This window comes from Homo sapiens, chromosome 8 (genome assembly GCF_000001405.40).
Source record: "Homo sapiens chromosome 8, GRCh38.p14 Primary Assembly".
Taxonomy (NCBI): domain Eukaryota; kingdom Metazoa; phylum Chordata; class Mammalia; order Primates; family Hominidae; genus Homo; species Homo sapiens.
The window spans coordinates 143,998,333-144,017,023 of NC_000008.11; the positions used below are offsets into that span (position 1 = coordinate 143,998,333).

The following is an 18,691-nucleotide window of genomic DNA, read 5'->3' on the forward strand; positions in this document are numbered from 1 at the left end:
AGCTTTAGCAAAACTACAACCCAGACTCCGCTCAGCTCTGCCTCTATTGGTTGAAGGTAATCAGACAAGGCAAGTGCTTTCTGGAAAAAGATATTATCCACCACCTCTGCAATTTTTTATAGACAACACTTGTCATTCAGTTAAAAATTACTAGGCATTTCAAAAGAAAGGACACTATGACTGAAAACCAAGAGGAAACAGACCCAGAGGTGACTCAAAGATTAAAGACAGCAAATAAGGACTTTAAATAAATATGGTGGATGTTAAGAAAAATACACATGGAAATGGAGAAGACTGGAAGAAAATGTGGAGAATTTTCCCAGACAATTGGATTTTATAAAAAGAATCAAGGGCTGGCCTTAATCCCAACACTTTGGGAAGCAAAGGCAGGCGGATCACTTGAGCCCAGGAGTTTGCGACCAGCTTGGGCAACATGGCAAAACCCCATCTCTACAAAAAATACAAAAATTAGCCAGGCATGGTTGTGTGTGCCTGTAGTCCCAGCTACTCAAGAGGCTAAGGCGGGAGGATCACCTGAGCTAGGGAGTTTGAGGCTGCAGTGAGTCATGATCACACCTCTGTACTCTAGCCTGGGTGACAGAGTGAGACCCTGTTTAAAAAAAAAAAAAAGAATCAAATCAAGCTTTTCTTTAATTCTTTCTCCTTCCTTCCTTCCTTCCTTCCTTCTTTCTTTCTTTCCTTCCTTCTTTCTTTCTTGTTCTTTCTGTCTTTCAACAGGGTCTCTGTTGACCATGCTGGAGTACAGCGGCACAGTCATGGCTCACTGCAGCCTCAATCTCTTGGACTCAAGATCCTTCCGCCTCAACCTCCCAAGTAGCTAGGACCACAGGCGCTCACTACCACACCTGGCTATTTTTTTTCTTTTTGAGATGGGGTCTCACTTTGTCGCCCAGGCTGGAGTGCAGTGGCACAATCTCGGCTCACTGCAACCTCCACTTCCCAGGCACAAGTGGATCCTCCCACTTCAGCTTCCCAAGTAGCTGGGACCACAGGCATGCACCACCACCCCTGGCTAATTTTTTGTATTTTTTGTAAAGATGGGGTTTCACCATGTTGCCCAGGTTGGTGTTGAACTGCTGAGCTCAAGTGGTCCGCCCACCTCAGCCTCCCAAAGTGTTGGGATTACAAGCATAAGCCACTACGCTCAGCTTAATATTTTATTTTTATTTTTATTTTTTGAGGAGACGGGGGTCTCACTATATTGCCCATGTTGGTCTCGAAGTCCTGGCCTCAAGCAATCCTCTTGCCTCGACCTCCTGAAGTGCTGGGATTACCGCATCCAGACTCAAATTGAGCTTCTTTTTTTTTTTTTTAATTTTTATTTTTTATAGAGATGAGGTCTCCCAAAGTGCTAGGATTATAGGTGTGAGTCACTGCACTGGCTCGAATTGAGCTTCTTTAATAGAAAAATACAGTTAACTGAAACCAAAAATTCAAGAGACAGGTTTAAGCAAATTAGAGAAGTCAGAAGTGAACTATTGGTGAACTGGAAGACAGGTCGATAGAAAATATCCTAAAACTCACGAAGAGAATAAAGAGAATGGATAGAGAACAAAGTATAAGAGAATGTGGGGAGTAGGGTCACAAATACCCTTAATTAGAGTCCCAGAAGGAGTAGAAAGAATGGGGAAGAAGTAATGTCTGAATACATAACGCTTGAAATGTTTCCAAAACCGGTAAGACATCGACCCATAATCTACCAAGACTTGCATAAAAAGAAGGTTATGCTCATCTCATAAAACTCCCCAACCATTTTACGAGCCCAGCATTGTGAGGTAAATTGTGCCCCCACCAAATTCATATGCTGAAGTCCTAATCCCCAGTACCTCAGAGTGTGACCTAATTTGGAAATAAGGTTGTTGAAGATGTAACTGGTTAAGATGAAGTCAACTGCAGTGGGGTGGCTCCCTAATCCAACATAGCTGATGCTTTTATAAAACGGGGAAATTTGACCACAGACACACACACACAGGGAAAATGCCATGTGGAGATTGGAGGTGTGTTGCCACAAGGAAGGAACTACCAGAAGCAAGGAGAGAGGACTGGAAGAGATCCTTCCCTAGCACCTGAGGGAGCAAGGCCCTGCAGACACCTTGATCTTAGACTTTTAGCCTCCAGAACTGTAAAGAACAAATATTGCTGTTTAAGCTATTCTGTTTATGGACTTTACCAATGCTAATAAACTAATATACCTAGAACCTGGGAGGCGGAGCTTGCAGTGAGCCGAGATCACGCCACTGCACTCCAGCCTGGGCGACAGAACTGGACTCCATCTCAAAAACAAACAATAAACTAATACACCTAGTGTAACACTGATACCAAATTCTGACAAGCTCATTAAAAGGAAGGAAATTTACAAGCCAATATCTCCATAAACATATATGTAAAAAAGCAAAACATTAGCAAATCAGCTGGTCATGGTGGCTCACACCTATAATCCCAGATGATTGTAATACCAGGCCAAGACAGGATCGCTTGAGCCCAGGAGTTTGAGACCAGTCTGGGCAACGTGGTGAGACCTCATCTCTACAAAAAATAAATTCTTTGTGTGTGTGTTTTTTTTTTTTTTTTTTTTTTTGAGACGGAGTCTCGCTCTGTCGCCCAGGCTGGAGTGCAGTGGCGCGATCTTGGCTCACTGCAAGCTCTGCCTCCCAGGTTCACACCATTCTCTTGCCTCAGCCTCTCGAGTAGCTGGGACTACAGGCGCCTGCCACCACGCCTGGCTAATTTTTTTGTATTTTTAGTAGAGACGAGGTTTCACCGTGTTAGCCAGGATGGTCTCGATCTCCTGACCTCGTGATCTGCCCGCCTCAGCCTCCCAAAGTGCTGGGATTACAGGCGTGAGCCACCGTGCCTGGCCTCTAGTTTTTATTTTTTAGACAGAGTCTCACTCTATTGCCCAGGCTGGAGTGCAGAGGCATGGTCACGGCTCATGCAGCCTGGACCTTTGGAATCCAGCGACGCTCCTACCTCAGAGACCCTCAGCCTCTCAAGTACCTGGGATTACAGGCGTGAGACACAGTGCCTGGCCGAACCTTAGTTTTTAAAATATAAATTTAATTCAAAATACAGGCTGGGCGTGGTGGCTTACGCCTGTAATCCCAGCACTTTGGGAGGCCGAGGCAGGCGGACCACTTGAGGTCAGGAGTTCAAGACCGGCCTGGCCAACATGGTGAAACCCCGTCTGTACTAAAAATACAAAACTAGCCAGATGTGATGGCTCGCTCTTGTAATCCCAGCTACTCGGGAGGCTGAGGCAGGAGAATCACTTCAACCCAGGAGGTAGAGGTAACAGTGAGCAGAGGTCACGCCATTGCACACCAGCCTGGGCAACAAGAGCAAAACTCCATCTCAAAAAGAGAAGAGAAGAGAAAAGAGAAAAGAAAAGAAAAGAAAAGAAAAGTCTGGGCACAGTGGCTCAAGCCTGTAATTCCAACAGTTTGTCAGGAGGATTGCTTGAGCCTAGGAGTTGGAGACCAGCCTGGACAACACAGCAAGATCCATCTTTAAATATATATACGTGTGTGTGTGTGTGTGTGTGTGTGTGTGTGTGTGTATTCTCAGTGTTAATTTTGTTAGACATCATAATGTCATTGTTATGTTAAATATCAAAGTTCTTACCCGTGGAGATACTGAAATACTCATAAAACAATAAAGTGCCTGGGATTTGCTTTAAAATACTCTAGGGAAAAAAAGGCAAGAGGGAGATAAATGAAGCAAGATTCACAAAATGCTGATAATTGTACAAGCTGGGTGATGAATACATGTGGGCCCGTCAGGCTATTTTCTCTACTTTTCAATAGGTTTGAAATTTTCCATAATAAAAGATTTTAAATAGAGGCATCTTAATTTTAAATGTAAATCTCATACCAATTGATCTTTATTCAATGTAAGTCCAATAAAAATCACAATAGGCCAGGCACAGTGGTACATGCCTGCAGTATCAGCTACTCAGCAAGCTGAGGTAGGAGGATTGCTTCAGCCCAGGAGTTTGAGAACAGCCTGGGCAATATAGTGAGACCCTATCTCCAGAAAAGAAAAAAATCCCAACATAATTCAATAAGCTGATTCTAAAATTGACATAGAAGAGTAAAAGAACAGGAATACACAAATACTCAGGACACTTCTTCTGAAGAAGATTCTGGATGGGGACTAGCCCTGATATCAGGACATATTATAAAACAATAACAATTAAAACAGTGTGGTATTAATGCAAGAATAGACCAAAAGAAAAAAAAAGGAATATAACAGAAAAGCTAACAATAGAACCACACCCATTTTAAAGATGAAACTGGGTAACTACTTCAAAATAAAAATCCACCATTGTTGGATGAAGAATATAAATCTCAAAAGCAAAACTTTACAACTTCTGTCTTGAGACACACGAAAGCACTAATTACAAAAACATTCAACACTATTCAAATTAAGAATTTCTGTTCATCAAAAGATACCTTAAATAAAATTGAAAAATAAAAAAATAAGGGAGCCCAAGGTAGGAGGATCACTTGAGTCCGGGAGCTTGAGACCTGCCTAGGGAATATAGCTAGACCCCATCTCAAAAACAAATTAATTAAATTGAGAAGACAAGTTAAAAACTGGGAGAGATATTCATAACACATGCAACAGACAATGGATTTCCATCAAAAATGTAAAAAGAATTCCTACAAACCAATGCAGGACAATCGATTTTTAAAATAAATATGGAGACTTCTGGCCACAAAGGACTAAGACAGAACCAGGATTTACATGGACACTCCACTACAAACAACTAAAAAATGTTATGAAACAGCCGGGCACGGTGGCTCACGCTTGTAATTCCAGCACTTTGGGAGGCCAAGGCGGGTGGATCACTTGAGGTCAGGAGTTTGAGATCAGCCTGGCCAATAAGGTGAAACCCTGTCTCTACTAAAAATACAAAAATTAGCCAGGCATGGTGGCACATGCCTGTAATCCCAGCTACTGGGGAGGCTGAGGCACAAGGATCGCTTGAGCCTGGGAGGCGAAGGTTGCAGTGAGCCAAGATTGAGATTGCGCCACTGCACTCCAGCCTGGGTGACAGAGTGAAACTCTGTCTCAAAAAAAAAAAAAAAAAAAAAGGTTATGAAACAATGATTTTCAGAAATTATACAAACATTTTGTAAAACTGTCCTGTGATGCAACAGGCAGCACAGGACTGGGACCCGGAGACAGGAACACTATGATCATCCTGGCTTTCTGCCTAGAGGCACATTTCAGGCCACGTGACAGAAAACAGTCCCAGGCAAAGCAGTGGCATCTCCCTGAGATAAAAATCAGGTTGGAGAAGCTGAAGAAGCTAAACATAGTTCCAGGACAGAGTTCTAGAAAGGAGGCAACTCTACGTAAAAAAAGAGCAACAGAAATCTGCATAGGGGCCGGCGCAGTGGCTCACAGCTACAATCTCAGCATTTTGGGAGGCCAAACCAGGAGGATAGCTTGAGCCCAGGAGTTCAAGACCAGCCTGGGCAACATAGTAAGGCCCCATCTCTACAAAAAAAAAAAAATTTTTTTTAATTAGTCAGGTGTGGTGACACATGCCTATAGTCCTAGCTACTCAGGAGGCTGAGGCAGGAAGATCACTTGTGCCTGGGAGGCCGAGGCTGCAGTGAGCCGTGATTGCACCACTGCACTCCAGCCTGGGCAACAACAACAACAACAAAGGCCAGCGTGGTGGTGCACGCCTGTAATCCCAGCACTTTGGGAAGCCAAGGCAGGAGGATCGCTTGAGGCCAGGAGTTCAAGATCAGCCTGAGCAATATAATGAGACCCTATCTCCACAAAAAATAAAAACAAAAAATTAGCTGGGTATGGTGGCGCTTGCCTGTAGTCCTCAGGAGGCTGAGGCAGTAGGATCACTTGAGCCCAGGAGGTCGAGGCCCTGTCTCAGAAAAAAAAAGAAGAAATCTGCATGGTGTCCCCCTTAAGTCTTAAGAGACAGAAAGTAGAATGGTGGGGGCCAGGACTGCGGGGAGGGGAAAGCAGGAGTTATTGTTTAATGGGGACAGTTTTCGTTTTACAAAAATTAAATCATGACCAGGCATTCACTGGCCTCAGTGCCTACCAGATGTCCTCTGACCCTTAGGACAAACTGAGTGTAGGTGTCATTGTCCCCACGCCACAAGTGAAGTAGCCCCACCTCCCGGTACCTCACACTGCCAACTCCACGCAGCAGGTGGAAGACTGGGCTAGATTTAAACACCACTCCCCAGGCTAGGGCCTAAACCAAGCCCCTCTGTCTCCTTCCCTATGTTCACAGAGATTCCTGATGAAAATTCCTTTTTTAGAGTCTATGCTGATTCAGTTGAGCTGAGGGTTGGGGAGAGGACCAACTCATTCTCCACTCAGGAACAGATTATATCTGAGAGACAGTGTTTCACAGGTCGGCGCTCAGCTGTGGGGTCCAGCAAGGGTGGGACAGAGGCACCAAGTCAGACCCAGTGTCCCAGAGCAGGAACAAGGCACAGACTGGGAGCAGGGCAGGCTCCTGGGGTGAATGGAGTGGGCACGGTTGAAAAGCTACCAAGAGTCCGGGCACGGTGGCTCATGCCTGTAATCCCAGAACTTTGGGAGGCCGAGGCGGGCAGATCACTTGAGGTCAGGAGTTCGAGACCAGCCTGGCAAACACGGTGAAACCCCATCTCTTTTAAAAATACAAACATTAGCCAGGCGTGGTGGTGGGCGCCTGTAATCCCAGCTACTCAGGAGGGTGAGGCACGAGACTCACTTGAGCCCGGGAGGCAGAGGTTGCAGCGAGCTGAGATTGCACCACTGCACTGCAGCCTGGGTGACAAGGCAAGACTCAGTCTCAAAAAAAAAAAAAAAGCTACCAAGAGAGGAGTAAGGAGAGCATCGGGGAGGGACCAGCATCCACCAAGTCCGAGATGAGCTGCTGAAGGTGGATGGAAATACAGGAAGTGAGAGGAGAAAGCAAGGAGGCCTGGAATTTACCCTGAGGCCTCAGAGCAAGGGAAGCAGACAGGCCCAGGCAGAGCACCAGTATTTGCTCCACAAAGATTTACCAAGCACCTACAGAAGTGCTGGTAGTGGACTTGAGCCACCTAACAGAGGCTACTATCCTGCAGCCCTAGGGCTTGCCAATCATAATCGTATGAACTGGTTGTTAAAAATCAGGACAGTTCTTTGAATGAGGGTAGCTCCTCCTACTCCCTAGAAACCCTCGTAGCCTTTCCATGTCACTGAATGTAAAATCCAAAACCTCATCTCAGCCTACAGACTCCATCCCATGCTTCTCTGGCCCGGCCGTCCCCTCCCCACAGTGGCTGATTCCCCTCCATCTCATTGGCCTCCTTGACGGTCTTCAAAAACACACCAAGCCTGCTACCCACCCCAGGGCGTCTGCACTGGCTGTCCCCTCCACCTGGAAGGCTTTGCCCCTTCTCATTCCCTGCTTTCTTTCAGGTCTGCTCCCAAGCAGCACCTTGTCAAGGAGGCCTCCAGACCACTCCATACCAGACAGCCCCCTCCGCTCTTGCCCCCGTCCCCTCCTCCACCTTCCGCACGGAGCACAGACCACCACCACATTGACCATCTTCCAAGTGCCCACTGTCCTCCAGAATGTCAGCTCCAGAGCCTTTGCTGTTCTCCCCGCACTGGTAAGAGATGGTGCTCAACACTGACTGAAGAGTGGGGACCCTCATTCAGGCCTGTCAGATCCTAGGGCCCCCCTAACCCCAGTGCTCCCCAGTCCCCTGATCAACTTCCAGCCTGGCTGCCTTGGGCATTTCCTGGCAATATAAACAGAGCCAGAGAGAGAGCAATGGCTCCCACATGTCTGGCTGTTCCCTGCTGTGTCCTGCGGGACCCGTGATGTGCCTGGCATCTAGCAGGTTTTCAAGATCTATGGGTTGAAGAGAAAGTGTGTTAAGCTTTACTCTGCCAGCCAGTGCCTTCTCTGTCTTCCATGCATCACCGCATCTCACACTCACAACGACAGCAGGAGGAGGGACGTTATCCCCACTCGACAGATGAAGAAACAGAGGCACAGAGAGGTTGGGGGCCTGCCCCAGGCCCATAGCGAGAAAGCTGGGAAGTGGTGCTTCTAGTTCCCCTGTGCTACAGCTGAAGGGTGGGCACTGGTCTGATGAGGAGTGATGAAGACTTTGGGGGCCCTGAGGGGCAACACGCAAGCGGAGTCTGAAGGAAGAGTAGGAATTAACCAAAGTTTGGGGTCAGGGAGTAACATGGGTCTGAAGTTGGGGCTCTGGAGTCTGCTATGGACTAAATGTTTGTGTCCCCCCTCAAAATGCATGTGTTAAAATCCTAATCCCCAATATGATGGCACTAGGAGGTGATGAGGTCATGAGGGTGGAGCCTTATAGAAAGATCACTGAGAGCTTGCTTCCTCTCTCTCCACTCCACCATGTGAGGACACGAGAATGCAGACATCTGCGCACCAGGAAAGGGTCCTCACCAGACACCAGGTCTGCAGGCACCTTGACCTTAGACTTCCCAGCCTCTAGAACCATGAAAAATCAATGTTTATTGCTTAAGCTGCCAAGTCCATGGTCATTTCTGGAGTCTGAGGGGCTGGAAGCCCAACCACACACCTCCAGCAAGCCTTCGTGTCCACCTGCTCTCCATTCCACCCTTCCTGGTCTTTGACTCCCAGCCTGAATGCCGCCCCCCTGCTCTGCCCCACCAAACATTGTTTGCTGCCCTCCAAACAATGCTGTGTAAACAGCAGAAAGAAACCAACAACACAGAGAAGTTAGCAAGGCTCCAAAGCCCGACAAAGCCCTCCCGGTCTCTGTCCCTGGCTTTTAGTCCCTAAGCCTTTCATGAGGGGTACCTGGATGACCCCTGGGGTTGATGACCAAGTTCATATTACCAAAAGTCTCTACTTCTAGCCAAGACCTCAGGAGACTTTCCTCTGAGGCCACTCTTCCCAGCTCCTGGTTGGCAGGGCCCTGGGTAGACAAGCAGATATCCCTCCTCTTGTGGGGACTGTCTGCCTCCCCAGGGCCCTCCAGACTAATCAAAGGGATATTGGTTTCCTCAGAAACCAGGGGCATGTCCTCAGACACTCAGAAGCCAGTTATTATCTTGTCTGTTTCAACTGCTGGTATACAGCAGCTTCTCCAGCTTCATGGTGCAATTCCTTTAGAAAAAGGAAAAAGGTTGAATAAAAATGCATTCCTATATTTATTGAGCACTTACCATGTGCCGGGGCCTGTGCTGAGCTCTGGGATGCAGAGCAGAGTTTGTTGTGGCCCTTGTCCTCTCCTGAGATATCACTCTAAGTCCTTCCTCTGGGCAGAGCCTAGCTCCAATGGGGTGTCAGAAAGACACCCCCCCACTCTTGGCAGCTGTGCAGAGAGAGGCTGAAGCAAAAGAGGTGAGGCTAGAGGCGAGAAGAGCAAGTGCAAGACTAGACTGCCGGCACCAAGCCCTGACCTTGACAGCTGGGAAAATGTTGAAAGACCCAGGGCCCATGGGAGAGCCCAGGTACTTGACATGGCCATGACTCAGTGGCCCCGCCTGCTGGATGGGGTACTACCTGCCTCGGGGGCTTGTTAGGACTGTCACGACAGTGCCTGGTATACAATAAGCGCTCAATAATGTCAGCTATGGCCTTTTCATCGTCTGAAGTGTAGGAGAGCAATGGAGAGGAGTCACTGCCGACGTCCCGGAGGGCCCTGGAAGTCAAATGCCAACTGAATCTGTGGGAGCACAGACTAGACAACTACCTCCCGGCAGCTCCTCGTCAGCAACAGGCAGACCCGGAGGTTCAACATGGCCACGGCAGGCAGGATTGAAATGTTCGCATGGCCAGTACTGCTAGGACATGTGGCGGATAGCTGCTTCCCAGGAGGTGCCTCTCAGCGCACCCAGCATGGAGGCAGCACGTTGGGGCCTGTCAGGTGGATGGAACAGAGGGCTCCCGGCTGCAGGCCCCCATTCTTCGGCAACTTTATGCCTTGAAAAGACGGCTTCAGAAGGAAACTTATTAAACACGCAGAGAATCCCAAGCCAAGAAAGGGGCAAAGATCCCTGAAGGCCTTGCCAAGCTGAAATGCTGAGCGGAATCAAATGAGGCAAATTTGAATGGGGACAAACTGTGCAAAAGCCAGTGACCCAAGACGGGAAGGAGGAGATCTGACTCAGCAAAAGCAAGTGGGACAACACTGGAGGTTTGTTCACAGTGAGCCCCTAACGGGCCGGGAGGAGCGCAAACCCCGAGTGCACCCCAGGAGGTTCCTGTCACTCCTGCGGGCCCAGCCTCCCTGCAGCCAGGAACTGGGACTGTTCCCAAGTGACACTGTCCAAGAGCTCAGAAGGGCAGGACTGAGAGCAGCATAGAGAGGCCCAGTGTCTCTCACTCCCCAGACTCTAGCCCCCAGACATGTCATCCAAATGGATGTGGATACATTTTTGGATGAATCTCACTCCCAAACTTGTGGTACTCTTTATACCAAGCTCAAACCCAACAGACTTGGATACCAAAGGACACTTTGTATATAAAACATAACAAAAAGAAAAAGAAAATGCGAATGAAGAGGAAATAAAAGTAGGGGGAGGAGAGGAAGCCTGGCGGAGGCTAATTCAAAGAAAGGAGCAGGAGGCTGCAGCTTAACATTCTGGGGGACCCTGGGGGTCTTTTGAGGGCCTCTACTGTGCACTGTGAGTCTAAGGAGGGGCTGGAAGCAGCAGAGGCGTGGTGGGCCACAGTCTTCCCTGGCACCAGGCTACAAGAGGAGGAAGAGAACAGTGAAAGAGGAACCCGCCTGCAGCTCTGCCGGCACTTCTCCGTACATCCAAACCTCTGGGAAGGGCTGTGTGTGCCCCATCTCTACCTTCCCCTCCCACTCACTGCTCAGACTTGTGAATCTGGACTTGGCCAAACCACTTCACCCAAACAGCCCTTGATACATCACCAATGACTTCCAAGTCCCTAAAGCTGACGCACACTTTTTCGGTCTTCATCTCATCTGACCTCTCAGCCTCACTAGATACCACCGCTGCTTCACATAACCCTGAAATATGCTCTGCCTGTGGCCTCCCAGCTCAGCCTTCTCCGGTTTTCCTGTCGCTGTGGGCACTTCTGCTGTATGTCCTCTGCGGCTTTGTCGTGGCTCTACTAGGCACAGTGGGCTGAAGGCTTATTCTCTCTCATTCGTTCCCCATTCCTGGGCAACCTCATCCGCTCATACAGATCCAGTTGCCATCTAGGAGCTGATACCTCTAACGTGTATCTTTCCAGCCCACACAGTAGGTTCTCCTCTACGACCTGGAGCAGTACCCCCTGCCTCCTGGCTCATCTCCTTAACATCCTGATCTCAGCAGCACATCCAAACCTGACTCCAAATATTCACTCTAAACTTGGTTTTCCTTCCAATTGGGTTGGTATAACCAGAGGCTCCACCACCCATGCCAGAAGCCGCAAGGCCATCCTGCCCTCGTTCTCGCCTTCATCCTCACATCCAAGCCAACTCCAAGACCAGCCCACCCAGCACCACTAAACATTTCTCAGCTCTGCCCACTCTCTCCACCTCCATGGCACCACCTGTGAACCAGCCACCCTCATTGCTTGCTTGGAGGACTGCAGTGGCCTCCTTACTGTGTGCCACTCAGTAGTTTCTTCCCTCCAATCTGTTCCCACATGCCCTTCCCTAAAGATCAATCAAGATCACAGCCACAGGCCCTGTCCCAACCTGGGCCCTCCATCCCTCCCCAGCACATACATCCACCCTGCTCATTCTGTGCTCTACCACACTTTTGGTTTCTTTGGTGAGGCACACTCCCCAACTGGATCTGGCCCACCTGCTGTACCCTCTCCCAGCACCAGTGCCTCTCCCAGGCAGCATTTATCGCAGGGTAAGCTCAGCATTTATATATGATCATTCAATTCATAGCCACTCTCCACTAGCTGGTAAAGTCGATAAGGTGGGGACAATGCCTGCTATGACTAGCACTGAACCCCCAATTCCTAACATAATGCCTGCCACAGTTGGTGGCCAACATATGTTTTCGGATGAAAGAACACTGGCATATGCAAAGAGAAACAGAGATGGTGCATCAGCCGGAGTTCTTTTATATTAGGAGATTTATTTTAAGGGCTTGGTCACATAATTGTGGAGGCTGGCAAGTCCAAAATCTGTAAGGCAGGCTGGCAACTCAGGTAGGAATTCTATGCTACAATCTTCAGGCAGAATTCCTTATTTTCCAGAAAACTTCAGGTTTTTTTCACTCTTAAGTTCTTCTGCCAGGCACAGTAGCTCACACCTGTAATCCCAGCACTTTGGGAGGCTGAGGCAGAAGGATTGCTTGAGCCCAAGAGTTTGAGGCCTGCCTGGGCAATGTGGTAAGACCCCATGTCTACAAAAAAAAATGTTTTTAATAAAAATTAGCCGAGTGTGGTGGCACACACCTGTAGTCTCAGCTACTTGGGAGGCTGAGGCAGCAGGATCGCTTGAGCATGGGAGGTCGAGGCAGCAGTGAACTATGATGGTGACACTGCATTGCAGCCTGGGCAACAGACTGAGACCTTGCCTCAAAAAAATAAATAAATAAATAAACAAATTTAAAAATTAAAAAAATAAATTTTTAAAAAGTTGTTCAACTGAATGGATGAGGCCCACCCAAATAACTGAAGGTAATCTCCTTTAAAGTCAACATCTTGTAGCTATTAATCACGTCTATTAGACGTCTAATAGACGTGATTAATAGCTACAAGTATATAATAGCTTCACAGCACTATCTAGGCTAGATTTTGACCAAACACCTGGACACTATAGCCTCACAAAATTGACACATAAAATGTAACCATCACTGACTGCATCAACCCAAGAGGCTAACAGTGAAATAAGACCATGACAAGCTAATTTTCACATGTTGAAGGAAAGCCCAACAGAGACACTCTATAAAGTTAGAGGGGTGACTGAAGAGACCTCAACTCTGGTTCTTGGGGGCTCTGGTCCCTGGGGCCAGAGTGACTGAGCCAGGATTACAGTCTGAAGCATTAGAGGAGGGGTGGGGGTAGGCCCCCCATTGTGAGGTCCAGGCAGAATGCTCAACTCACAGCGATCCCAGCCCTGGCTGACCTTCTTCCCCTTCCTCATTCCCACATTCTACCAGGAGTCTGTCCTCTGGCCTGTACCTGGACTTCGCTATCCTCTCCCTGCCCCAAAAAGAGGTTTGAGGGAGAACAGCCACAGAGCCAATGGAGGCCACGAGGACACGGCCTCACTCAGTACTCAAGGTCAGTACCATAGAGTTATCTGTAGATAGCTCTAAGAGAAGGGGAGCATCATGAGGACTGAGTCCTGAGTTCTTAGAACCAGGTGAGGGATGCAGTCTTGGGCTCCTGAAGGACTAAAGTCAGGAAAATTCAAGGAGCTGGGGAATAGAGATCCAAGTGCGGAGAAGGCAACGACGGGAGATTTGGAATAGGGAACGCTGAGTCACCAGAAATGGAAACTCCAAGTTATAGAGAGCTCCTGGACCAGCAGTAAGATAGAGACTCTGAGCACCTGGGTCAGAAGAAATCATGGGCGAGTGTCCAGGCCTTCAAGACACAGCAACCAGGAGAAGGCTGAGAGGCCAAACCCAGGCATGTTCAAGATCACCAAGAAGGGGCATCCTGGCCAGGAAGGTGGAGTGGTGGGTTTTCATTCAACAAATATTTACTGTTTACCTACAAACATTGTGCCAAGCCCTGTGCTGGACACTGGGGTTTCCAGGAACGTGTTACAATCCCTGACCTCACTGTAAAGCCAGTGGACAATGTTAAGGAGCTAGCACGGAACTGGAACCAGGGGAAGTGCTATGACACAGGACACATCTGCTGGGGAAACCCAGCGGGCAGCAATTAACTTGCGGTGGGGGAGAGGAAGTTTCACGGAAGAGGCACCATGAGGGTGAAGTTGGCGAGACAGAGAAAAGGTCAGGACATTCCAGGCCGAGGCAAGGCCTGTGTACAGGCCTGGTGGCATGGAGAGCTGAGGGTGTTAGAGCAGAGAGGGCAAGGAAGAGGGCACAGCCTCTGACCTCACAATACCCAGGGCCCACTGGGCCAGCCTTGCAGACTCTGCACCCTCCTTCAGCCCAGGCAAGGCCTGGGGCCCTGGGCAGCCTCCAGGTGCAGTGCCCTCCCGTGGGCCGCACCCTTGCCACTGCCCCAGGGCATGTCTCTACTCACCAATTATGAAGGGCTTCGGCATCAGATAGAGAGGCTGGTGCGGGAAAATGAGGAACTGAAGAAGTTGGTGCGGCTCATTCGGGAGAATCACGAGCTCAAGTCAGCGATCAAGACTCAGGCAGGCGGGCTCGGCATCAGCGGGTTCACGAGTGGGCTTGGTGAGGCAACAGCAGGCCTTTCCTCACGCCAGAACAATGGTAAGAGGCCTCGCTCCCAAGAGAGTGAGGAGGGAAGTGGGGACTGCACCAGAGAGGAGAGACTCAGTGTGCTGAGGTCTCAGGAGGTCATGGAGGGAGTGCCCTTCTCCTTGCCCTCTCTGCTCTAACACACTCAGCTCACCAGACAATGTGCTTCCTGTCCTGGAGGAGGCTGCATTCCCTCCTGTCCAGGGTGGACCTCTCCACAGGTGCTCAGAGCCCACCCACCCCTGCGGTGACCTGCCTCCATCACAGGCCCTGTACCTTGCCCTCCTTACCTGGCCCTCTCCTCTGTCCACCATCAGGTATGAAATCTTCCTCCTTCCCTGAAAGGACACCTCTGCTCTTTCTGGTCTCTGCTTATTTAAGCCTCTACAGCTTGGCAACGAACCCTGACACCACTGCTCTAGAACGGTCACAAGTGCCTTCCTAGGTGCTGCATCCTTCTCCACCTCTGCATGGCATCTGAGATCGATAGCCCTCCTCCATGACCCTCTTTCTGAGTTCCCAAGCCATCTTGTCCATCCCTCTGGCTCATCTTAATTGAGGCTGCTCCCAGGCTCTGGGTCCAGGCCCTGTCCCTCCACCCTCAGCCAGCGTACCCACAGCGCAGCTTCAACTCTCCACTAGAACTCAAGATCCCCTCCAGATCCTGCAGGCTCAATGAGTCACTGGAACTTAGCTCACTCCAAACTAGACATGTTTCTGACTGATAACTTGGGTCTTTCCAGCAGCTAAAGCCCTTCAGGCTTGTGCTCACTCCCCTCCTGTCTTAATTCCCTGCCCCCTACCCACTGGGTTCCCTGCCATACAACCTGAAATGTGGCATAGGGCTGGTCTTCAGTTCTCCCTTACTGATTACGAGCACATAGACACCTCTAGCTTTAAATGTTATACCCCTAATGACACAGAGACAACAGAGAGGGTAAAAAGAATAATACACATGGGGCCAGGTGCGGTGGCTCACACCTATAATCCCAGCACTTTGGGAAGCTGAGGCAAGCAGATGACCTGAGGTCAGGAGTTTGAGATCAACATGGCCAACATGGCGAAACGCCATCTCTACTAAAAACACAAAAATCTTCTGGACATGGTGGTTCACGCCTATAATCCCAGCTACTCGGGAGGCTGAGGCAGGAGAATCACTTGAACCTGAGAGGTGGAGTTTGCAGTGAGCCAAGATCACACCACTGCACTCCAGCCTGGTCAACAGAGCGAGACTCCATCTCAAAAACTAATAATAGGCTGAGTGCAGTGGCTCAGCCCATAATCCCAGCACTTTGGGAGGCCAAGGTGGGTGGATCACCTGAGGTCAGGAGTTTGAGACCAGCCTGGCCAACATAGTGAAACCCCATCTCTACTAAAAATACAAAAAGTTAGCCAGGCGTGGTGGCACATGCCTGTGGTCCCAGCCACTTGGGAGGCTGAGACAGGAGAATCCCTTGAACTGGGAGGCAGAGGTTGCAGTGAGCCGAGGTTGCGCCATTGCACTGCAGCCTGGGCAAAAAGAGCGAAATTTTGAAAGAAAAAGAAGGAAAGAAAGAAAGAAAGAGAGAGAGAGAGGAAGGAAGGAAGGATGGAAGGGAGGGAAAGGAAAAAAGAAAGAAAGAAAGAGAAAGAAAGGGAAAGGAAGGAAGGAAGGAAAAGAGAGGAGGAGGAGGAGAAGAAGAACAAGAAGAAGAAGGAGGAGGAGGAGAGGAAGAAAGAAGGAAGAAGAAGAAGAAGAAAATAAAACAAAAGAAAAGAAGAAGGAAGGAAGGAAAGAAGGAAGGAAGGAAAGAAATCTTCCTGTTTAAGAAGCTAGACTCTGGTTTCGTACTCCCAGGCTAACCAAGCAAGCCCTCTCCTCCCAGCTTTCATTCTTAAGGGAATCCTTGGACCACTTCAGATCTTCCAACTCCCAAAAGGTCAAGCTTTGAGGCTTAGGAAAGACTTCCTGGAGGAGGTGAGCCCAGCCAACTGGTTGTGAAGGGGAAAGGAGCGTGCCACAAGTAGAAGTGACTCATACAAGTGTCTGGCCCCAGGGATTGCTGGAATGAGAAACAGATGTGCAATTAAAGCCCTGACCCATGTGTGTCTCACGTGGGTGAACGTGTGTGAATGCGCTATGAGAGTATGTGGCACACACTATGCACCACACATACTCTGCAGTGTGAGTATGGAGCGTGTGGTGTGGGTGTGTGAATGAGTGTGTATGAATGTGTGTAGGGAAATGTGCATGATGCTGACTCTGGGCATACTGCCTAGGAGTTAGCGTTTCTCACAAGGAGCGGTGCTGTCAAAAGAAAATTAAATGTAATTTTTAAATATTTAAAATTTTTTTTTTTTTGAGAGACAGAGTCTTGCTCTGTCACCCAGGCTGGAGTGCAGTGGCACAATATCAGCTCACTGCAACCTCTGCTTCCTGGGTTAAAGTGATTCTCCTGCCTCAGCCTCCTGAGTAGCTGGGATTACAGGTGCATGCCAGTACTCCTGGCTAATTTTTTTTTTTTTGGTGTATTTTTAGTAGAGATGGAGTTTCACCAAGCTGGCCACACTGGTCTCAAACTTCTGACCTCAGGTAATCTGTCCGCCTCAGCCTCACAAAGTGCTGAGATTACAGAAGTGAGCCACCACGCCCAGCACAGGGAGCAGTACTGTAAAAAGAAAATTAAATGTAATTTTTAAATATTTAAAATTTTTAAAAAATAAAACATCTATATATTTAAAAAAAAAAGAAAGAAAGAAAATGTGGGCCAGGTGCAGTGGCTCACGCCTATAATCCCAGCACTTTGGGAGGCTAAGGTGGGCGGATCACCTGAGGTCAGGAGTTCAAGACCAGCCTGGCCAACATGGTGAAACCCCATCTCTACTACAAATACAAAAATCAGCCGGGTGTGGTGGCAGGCGCCTGTAATCCCAGCTACTCGGGAGTCTGAGGCAGGAGAATGGCTTGCGCCCGCAAGGCAGAGGTTGCAGTGAGCCAAGATCATGCCCTGCACTCCAGCCTGGGCGACTGAGTGAGACTCTGTCTCAAAAAAAAAAAAAAAAAGAAAAGAAAAAAGAAAAAATAGGTTGGGCTTGGTGGCTCACGCCTGTAATCCCAGCACTTTGGGAGGCCGAGGTGGAGGATCATAAGGTCAGGAGACTGAGACCATCCTAGCAAACACAGTGAAACTCCATCTCTACTAAAAATACAAAAACAAAATTAGCCGGGCGTGGTGGGGGCGCCTGTAGTCCCAGCTACTTGGGAGGCTGAGGCGGGAGAATGGCGTGAACCCGGGAGGCGGAGCTTGCAGTGAGCAGAGATGGCGCCACTGCACTCCAGCCTGGGCTGGAGACTTTTGAGACTCTGTCTCAAAAAAAAAAAAAAGAAAAAAGAAAGAAAGAAAGAAAAGAAATTAGCTGGGCATGGTGGCAGGTGCCTGTAATCCCAGCTACTTGGGAGGCTGAGGCAGGAGAATCGCTTGAACTTGGGAGGCAGAGGTTGCAGTGAGCCTAGACTACGCCATTGCACTCCAGCCTGAGCAACAAGAGCAAGACTTCATCTCAAAAAAACAGTGCATGTGTGTGTGAGAGGATATGGTGTATCTGCTTTGACGGTGTGTGATTTGTGAGTGAATGTGTGCATATGGCTCTGTGTGTGTGTGAGTTGCTGTGTGTGTGTGTGAATGTATGTGAGAGTGTATGTGGTATGTATGTGTTATGTGGGTGTTTGTATTTTGGCGTATGTCTGATTGTGTGAGTGTATATGGTGTGTGTGTGGTGTGTTCATGTGTGACAGGGGCCAGGGAGAGGTGAAAAATGCAGCTAGAGGCATCAGATCACCAAGGACTGCGGATGACATGCTGAGGGGCTTGGACTTGCTCCTGAAGGCGCTAAGAAGACACTGATGGTTTTTGTTTGTTTGTTTGTTTGTTTTTTTGTTTGTTTGTTTTTGAGACAGAGTGTCGAAGTTTCACTCTTGTTGCCCAGGCTGGAGTGCAATGGCGCAATCTCGGCTCACCGCAACCTCCACCTCCCGAGTTCAAGTGATTCTCCTGCCTGAGCCTCCCGAGTAGCTGGGACTACGGGCATGCACCAGCACACCCGGCTAATTTTGTATTTTGTTAGTAGAGACGAGGTTTCTCCATGTTGGTCTCATGTCGGCCTCAAACTCCCGACTTCAGGTGATCCGCCCACCTTGGCCTCCCAAAGTGCTGGGAATACAGGCATGAGCCACCACACCCGCCTGACACTGGTGGTTTGTAACAGAGAATAATCATGTTTGTGCTTCAGAAACGTTACCCCAGATGCTATGGGGGAAATGGATTGGAGG

General features: G+C 48.9%; 2 protein-coding genes across 9 annotated transcripts in view, besides 1 other annotated feature; one reads left to right on the top strand and one right to left on the bottom strand.

Moving 5' to 3' along the window:
* Positions 1-14,432, bottom strand: part of PARP10 (poly(ADP-ribose) polymerase family member 10) — a 35,607-nt gene extending 21,175 nt beyond the window's left edge. For all 3 annotated transcript variants that reach the window (XM_011517336.4, XM_047422327.1, XM_047422328.1), the window contains exons 1-2: positions 14,198-14,432; positions 9,217-9,380 (exon numbers count right to left, since the gene is read on the bottom strand). The gene's annotated coding sequence lies outside the window, so the exon portion shown is untranslated. The remainder of the gene's footprint in view (positions 1-9,216; positions 9,381-14,197) is intronic.
* SPATC1 (spermatogenesis and centriole associated 1) overlaps positions 12,645-18,691 on the top strand; it is a 36,138-nt gene continuing 30,091 nt past the window's right edge. For 5 of the 6 annotated variants that reach the window (XR_928329.2, XR_928328.2, XM_011517021.2 and 2 more), the window contains exon 1: positions 13,948-14,394. Coding sequence is in view for 4 of the 6 variants with exons in the window: in XM_011517021.2 (XP_011515323.1) it covers positions 14,184-14,394 (211 nt within the window). In the remaining 2 variants the exon portion in view is untranslated. Of the gene's footprint in view, positions 13,259-13,947; positions 14,395-18,691 lie in introns of those variants that run through there. The other variant, XM_011517022.3, reaches the window with a different exon arrangement.
* Positions 13,780-13,999: an enhancer, noted in NCBI's record as "active region_28085". NCBI's record gives its function as "activates an Ori minimal core promoter by ATAC-STARR-seq in GM12878 lymphoblastoid cells {active_cell/tissue: GM12878}" and the evidence as "EXISTENCE:reporter gene assay evidence [ECO:0000049][PMID:35858748]".